Source organism: Homo sapiens, chromosome 11 (genome assembly GCF_000001405.40).
Source record: "Homo sapiens chromosome 11, GRCh38.p14 Primary Assembly".
NCBI lineage: Eukaryota > Metazoa > Chordata > Mammalia > Primates > Hominidae > Homo > Homo sapiens.
The window spans coordinates 49,831,874-49,839,711 of record NC_000011.10 but is presented as its reverse complement, the minus strand read 5'-3'; the positions used below and the strand labels follow the sequence as shown (position 1 = coordinate 49,839,711).

Sequence of the window (7,838 nt, the reverse complement as noted above, 5' to 3'; positions counted from 1 at the left end):
CGTAGGTTTTCTACTCCTCTCCCATAGTCATTCAGTAGTTATTTGAAAGAGAAATAGGGACAAGCATGTTTTATTCTAGACCACTTAAGATTAAAACCCGACTTTCATATCGACATCCAGGGAATAGGTTTTTGAAAAGATTTGCATTATGTTATGGGCAGGAATTAGGAGTAGAAGAGGTTGTGTGTCATCTAGTCAGTAGTGTCTGCTAAAAAGCCTAAAGACTCTCTTTGTGTATGAATTTTTCATTTTTGTTACAGAGGAAATAGTTTGTTCTGCTTTAATGAGCACTGTCAAGAAGAAAATATAGCTATCACATATCACCACATGTTCACAGATTTTCACCAAGCCAGACCCCAAAATGACATGCTGCTCTTTCTTCTTCAGAAACATGAATTCTGGAATCTCGCAAGTATTCCAGAGGGCACTCACCTGTCCCATCTACATGAACTACTTCCTAGACCCAGTCACCATAGACTGTGGGCACAGCTTTTGCCGGTCCTGTTTGTACCTCAACTGGCAAGACATGGCAGTTCCTGCCCAGTGCTCTAAATGCAAGAAGACAACACGGCAGAGAAACCTCAACACTGACATTTGTTTGAAGAACATGGCTTCCATTGCCAGAAAAGCCAGCCTCCGGCAATTCCTTAGCTCTGAGGAGCAAATATGTGGGATGCACAGACACAAAAAGAAGGTGTTCTGTGAAGTGGACAAGAGCCTGCTCTGTTTTCTGTGCTCCAACTCTCAGGAGCACCGAGATCACAGACACTGTCCCATTGAGTTGGCTGCTGAGGAATACCGGGTAAGCGATGCCTCTGAAGATCTATTTCTATACAGGACACATGAAATTCTTGTAAGTCTCTTTCCTTGGAGATTGGATGATGCCATCTCTGTGTCCCTTTAAGCATGTCCGTTATGAGCTTCCTTGACTTCACACCTCTCAGATTTGACAAACATGAGGAGAAACAAAGCAAACTCTCTTTTCTGTGGGCTAATTTGTCTCTCATTTTGGGTCCTTCGTATATCAGAGTGTGAATGATACTTTATTGTCCTCACTTGTGCTTCAGTTCATGGCTGTTTTGCAGGAGGAGCTCCTAAAAAAAAATGCAGTGCTTATGGGAAAAAGCTTGTGAAAATCTCAGAAACCAGAACATGGAAACCACCAGAACCAGATGCTGGAAGTTTAGTACCGTATTACTCCACCTTTTCTGGGAACTTATAGCGAACAAATGGGTGACTCTTAAAATAGAAACTTGATCTCAACCCACAATGTTTCTGGAATTCAATAAACAAGGAAAAAACACTTGAGAAAAACACACCCTAATTTTTTATATAAGTTAGTGTGACTCTTTGGTAGGATTTCTAATCAGACCACAGATGTTACCCAAGCATGCTCATCTGTTTCCATACAAACCTATAGCAATACCCCCAACAAATACAAGAAACTGAGCCATTTCACATGCTTCCCAATGGGCTGCCTGGATAAATTCTGGACACAAGAGTTATTTGTCAGTCATGGAAATTTCAGGTGACCCTTCTAAGGCTGAGTCAGTATGAATTTGAATCCTGGTGGGCAAGCATATTGAAATGTGAGCTAAATTTTAGGCAGAAGGAGCAAGAGTGCAACCTTAGGGAAAGCATGAAATTAAATATCAGCACTAATTAAAATTGAATAAGTCATAACACATAATGGGAAAAGTGGCAAGAAATGTAGACTTGTGTCTTGATGAAGACAGAAATATCTGAGAAATATGGGAACTAGTATTTAATATAAGGAGAACTCTAAGGACTTGAGAAGAATTCTAGAAATGATTTTCTCTTTGTGGATGTTTATATTGAGGGTATGATATCTAATATTAATTCATTAATTTACTCTAATATTAATTCATTGAAAGATATTTTATGAGTACCTAGTCTATGTCAAATATCAACTTAGAAAGTTAAGGAGTAAAGAAGAAAGAAAACACACAAATCTTGCAATGGAAATGAGAAAAGCAAATGGTCACCATGCAGATATGTGAAGTACATGATGTGTTAGAGTGTAGTAGTGTCTTTGGAGAATAATCAAGCAGGAAAGTAGAAAAGGAGCACAGAGGCCAGGGACTGGGGATGAGGGTTTGAGTTTTAAATAGGGTGGTTAGAAAAAAGGCTCATGGAAAAATTCACACTGAAACAAAATCTTGATCAGGAGGAAATATATATATCCTCCTGTTTGCCTTTCTCTTCCTCATAAATATATGAATATATATGTGTACCTGGGTGTTGGTATATATACATATATATGGATATATTTGAGGAATATATATATACACACACAGATACACGTATATATTCCTCATATATCCATATATACCTATATTTGAGAAATATATATATGAGTACATATATGAGAAACATGTATTTATATATATATGAAAATAATTCTAGGCATAGAAAACAGCATGTGCAGTAATATTTAATTTGCATTTATTTGGGGGTTTGAGGAACCACCAAGAAGCCCATGTTGCCGATTAGGGTGAGTTTGGAAGAGGATAAATGAAACCTTATTAGAATATGTGATGCTGGGTGAAATGCATTGAGTTGACAATGCTAGTCTGGGTCATGTCATCATTTGTCATATAATGGTTTTACATAACTTGCCCCAATTCTCCAAAATAGAAATAATGGTTTCTTACCTAGTCAATATAACTAATAGTTTGATTCTTAAGCAAGAACTGTGTTTTCTTTCTATAAATGTGGTGTGGAAGAGAGAAATCCATTTTTATATAACTATCTTAGAAAACATTTTATCATTAATCAAGTAAATGTAACTGGGCAGAAACAACTATGTGATATTAGTACAGAAAAAAAGGAAAGGAATAAAATTTTGTGGAATCTGAGAATTGACAAGATTGAGGATTAAAATATTGGGTGTTCAGAATGCTAAGAGGAATCAGTGAAATTCAAGAGAAGGTGGATAAAACATTTCTATTTTGACTAATTGTCACTGCAGGATTATGTGAGTTTAAGGATAGAAGCAATCAGAGCTGAATATCAGAAGATGCTTGCATTTCTCCGTGAAGAAGAGCAACATCACTTGGAGAGGCTGCGAAAGGAGGGCGAGGATATTTTTCAGCAACTCAATGAAAGCAAAGCCAGAATGGAACATTCCAGGGAGCTTTTAAGAGGAATGTATGAGGATCTGAAGCAAATGTGCCATAAAGCAGATGTGGAGCTACTCCAGGTACGGACTGACCGTGGGGTATCATGATGTTGAAGATTCACGTGCATGGATGTTTTTCCTCTCTCCTGAAATCCGTCTCCCCCTTTACTTCCATGATTTGTTTCCAAAAACACGATTCGATAGCTAATAGCTACTTGGTTGGGAGGGTATAGCCTCTCCTAGTAATTCTACCAGACCGAACGTCCCTCTTACTTTATCCACCAGCAACAACACTTTGCGGAATGGCCAAGGTAACAGACAGCCCCAAGAAATATTTCCCATCAAAAGTCAGTGATTTATTTAGGATTTTTGAACGTGGATAAAATGAGAAGTGATTCATTGGCATTTAGGCTAATTTGGAGACATGGCATGATGGAGAAGTTGGGGAATCTAGGATCACACTAATATTATTTTGTGGTCCACTCATTTTGGTAACAGGGCTTAGGGTAGATGACTGAGTAGCTTCTTTATGGTTACAGCAGAGCATGGACTCTGTGGGCCTCCTCTCCCTTCACTTGTAAAGAGAATGTCTGCAAGACTTAGACTTTATCAGGACATTAATTCGTGACATATGATAGACTGGGATTTTCATGAGAAAAGAAACAGAAAATGCTTTCCAGGAGGGAACATTGTAGGAAAATAATATCTTCAGAAACTGTCTCCGTATCTCACAATGAACTTAGTTGAAGGTGCGTCTTATGGAAAGCACTAAGCCTATTTTTTTTTTTTTACAGTCTTTTGGAAACATATTACAAAGGTGAGTGCATACCAAGATTTTTGCAGATGCTTTTAGTTTCCACAAATATCAAGCAGGAACTTTGATATTGAAGGTAAAATTGATTCAGATATTGATACTACCTTGTGCTGGTTGTACTTTCTCCATCCCCCACCCCATGTAGTCATCTATTTTGTTGCCATACTCAGTGATTTTATTAAGCAGCTCAATGAAAGTTGTGCAAAACCAAAAATAAATAAATAAATAAATAAGAAAGAGAAAAAAAATAAATCAATGAAAGAAAATAAAGGAAGTGAGCATCTCTATTCCTAGTTTCCTTTTTATTGCTCAAAAGCCTTCATATTTGAAAGAGAAAATATCACATTTACTACATGGCTACAAAGTCAACCAGGGGAAGCCAGAGAGAAAAGGGGAAAGTATTTTAGCAGCAAAAATTGTTGATGATTTCTAGTTTATATTTCAATATATAATTCTGAAAAATAGATGAAACAAACTATTCGGAATGTTTGAATCATGTGGGCCTCCAGAGAACCTCAATTATAAAAGGCAGATCTCCCTGCCTGGAGCACGTTTCAACACCCTGGCCTTGAGAAGGAAGCAACAGATGCAGCAGTCTTAAAAATAACCCCACTTTTCCAGACAGTGATTTCAGGAATTTCTGGTGAGGTCTGGAACCCAGAATTTCATTTTTGAATATTCTCCCAGTCTTAAGACTAATGATCCTTACTAATTTGGAGCAATACAAAGAAAGATCCGAATGAATTCTCAGTCAGAGAGACTTTACCATCGTGCTTGAAAATCAGGAACTGTGAATAAGAATGAATTTGAAAAAGAAAATGATAATTTTGGAATTAGCAAATGTGTGGGTTAAAGGGCTTCTCATGAAATGTCTTTTAAATGAAAATGGTGATTTTTATGTATTTTTTTTGGCTGTAGATGTGGTAGCTGTATCTTTCTCCTTGCAGGTATGAGTCCCTGCTGCTGCAAGTGTCTGAGCCTGTGAATCCAGAGCTCAGTGCAGGGCCCATCACTGGACTTCTGGACAGGCTCAGTGGATTCAGAGGTAAGTGTCAGCCCGTCGGCAGAATTCCCACAGTGTATTACTTCTTGTTAGAATCATGGGGGTAATATTTTACCCTTCATCAAATCTTTATTTCATTTCAGCAGGAAGTGAACCATATGATGATGCAATCCTTTTATATCTGTTTCTTTTTATAGTCCAATTTATAACCTGAAGAGTAAAACATAGTGAAAAACAAATATGTTCTGGGCTCACATGGATAGACTTATATTGGGTAAATGGAATGACATAAGAAATAAAAAATTGAATAAATGGAACAATGCTCAGAAGGAAGCATAATAATCCAAGGCTACATAAAAATTTTACATTTCTTTACTGTATTTCCTTTGAATTGTTAAACACATTTCATTGGGGGATAGAGTTCACTGCAGTTTGTTGGAGTATTTGTACTTTCTTACAATAAATATATATTATTGATGTAATGTAAAATTTTGACTTAACAGGTAAAAAGAAAGAAGAAATTATTATGTAAATAGGAAGTAAAAATGGAAATTTCAGTTTAGTTACAACACGAAGAGCTACGTGTGAAATGTAAAATTCGGTACCGGTCTAGAGCTAGCAGTGATGTCCGCAAAGTGACTGGTAAAAGATTTTGCATAAATCGGCCTTAAGTTATCACTTGTAATTTGAACATATGGACTTTTATCCAGTTATCTAGAGTGGTGCTTGAGTAAGCTAAAATCTTCCCCTTTTGCCAAAATTATATCCCTAGTATTTAAGAACAAGAAATATTTTAATAATAATGACCTTGATAGCTAAAGGGCATTCAGGGCATAAAGTATTTCACTGTTACATTGGAGATTGGATTAAAGCAGGCTGGTCTTATATTCCACTCTCAATTTTTAAGTTTTCAATGTCTGTTTTTAGGGTTTTGTTCTTCCTATAGAGAATAATAAGCATCCTTATACTTTATTAAATGTTGTAGCCACAATTCTCCTGTCCTTGTAACTTCCAATTTCTTGGTAAAGTAAACTCTTGGTAGAACAACTTTTCCCTCAAGAATTCTAATTTCTATTAATTACATGTATCTATATTTTTAAAAAATTATTTTTGCAGTTGATTTTACTCTGCGGCTTGAAAGAGCTAATAGTCATATCTTCCTGTATGGAGATTTGAGAAGCATGAATGTTGGATGTGACCCTCAAGATGATCCCGATATCACTGCAAAATCTGAATGTTTTCTTGTATGGGGGACTCAGGCTTTCACATCTGGCAAATATTATTGGGAGGTGCACGTGGGGGATTCTTGGAATTGGGCTTTTGGTGTCTGTAACAATTATTGGAAAGAGAAGAGACAGAATGACAAGATAGATGGAGAGGAGGGACTCTTTCTTCTTGGATGTGTTAAGGAGGACACTCACTGCAGTCTCTTTACCACCACCCCACTTGTGGTGCAATATGTTCCAAAACCTACCAGCACAGTAGGATTATTCCTGGATTGTGAAGGTAGAATCATGAGCTTTGTTGATGTTGATCAAAGTTTCCTGATATACATCATCCCTAATTGCTCCTTCTCACCTCCTCTCAGGCCTATCTTTTGCTGTAGTCACTTCTGACCAGAGAAAAGTCAGAAATGGGTCTATATGCTCTGGGAACCTGTTTAGCTAAGAAAGCCTTTTTTTCGCACCTCATCAAACAGGATAAATAAGTTATATTTAATGTCTTTAGTTGCATTCTAATGTCATCAAAACTCATTTATAGTGTTTCTATTAAATATGGTGAAAACACTGCAACCATGTGTATTGGTTCCTTTTTAAATCATTTTTGGAAAATCATCACCCATGATTTATGGCATAGAATATATTCTCTGGTTTTTAATTATTTCTGAATGTCACAAAGTAAAATAATAGAGGAAAGAGTTGTCTAAATGAAGTTAAAATCAATGGAAGAAAGTAGAGATCTTGGGATTCATGAAAAATTTGGAGTAAAAAGACTCAGTGGTAACCTGGAAATATTTTCTTTCTCTTCATCTAACAATATTATACTTCTTGATGTGTTTTATTTATGAAACTATCCTTTGAGGTAATCTTATTTGACCTCTTATGCTGTGCTTATCTTTGTAAATCTCATCTTATATTCAAAATACTCGTGCATGATCAGAGTGATGTCCTACAGTGAAATTTACAAGGGGATCAGGACAATGCTGGATCAATTTAATATTCAAATGGACAAAACTGAATACTGACCCCTACCTCAAACCATACACAGTGCATTTCCACATGGATTCATGTTCTGAAGGTGAAGGGAACACAATAAAATATTCTCACACAGAAAGATTTCCTAACCAGGACAAAAAAGGAACAATTAAGAAGAAAAATGTAGTTACTTTATATCAAAAATGATGACTTCTGTGTTTCAAAATATACCATCCAAGAATTAAAATGCAAACCAAGAGTGGAGAAAAATATTTATCCCAACATATATGCAATAAAATATAATACATGTGATTAATGAAGGTAATAAATAAAAGAAAATGAAACCAATATAAAATTGGGAAAATATTTGAACAGGCACTTCATAAAATTGGAGGCATAAATATCTGGACAAATATGAAAAAGGGATTACTTGTATTAGTCCTCAGAATAATAAAAATTAATCCATAAGTTGAACCACAGGCCTCCATAAAAAGTAGCAAAATGTAAAAACACATAATATTGTGTGTTGTGAAAGATAAAGAATCAATGATGAAACTTATTCATGGCTGGAGGGATACAAACTGAAATACTTTTTGGCAAACTGACTATGAGCATTCCTTATGGGCTACATATTCTCATTCTAAAATATATTCCACAGCCTGCCTATGTGTATTTCAAGATAAA

The 7,838-nt window shown here is 36.0% G+C and overlaps 1 pseudogene; it reads left to right on the top strand.

Annotated features, from left to right (window-relative positions):
* TRIM51FP (tripartite motif-containing 51F, pseudogene) lies at positions 382–6,746 on the top strand (annotated as a pseudogene).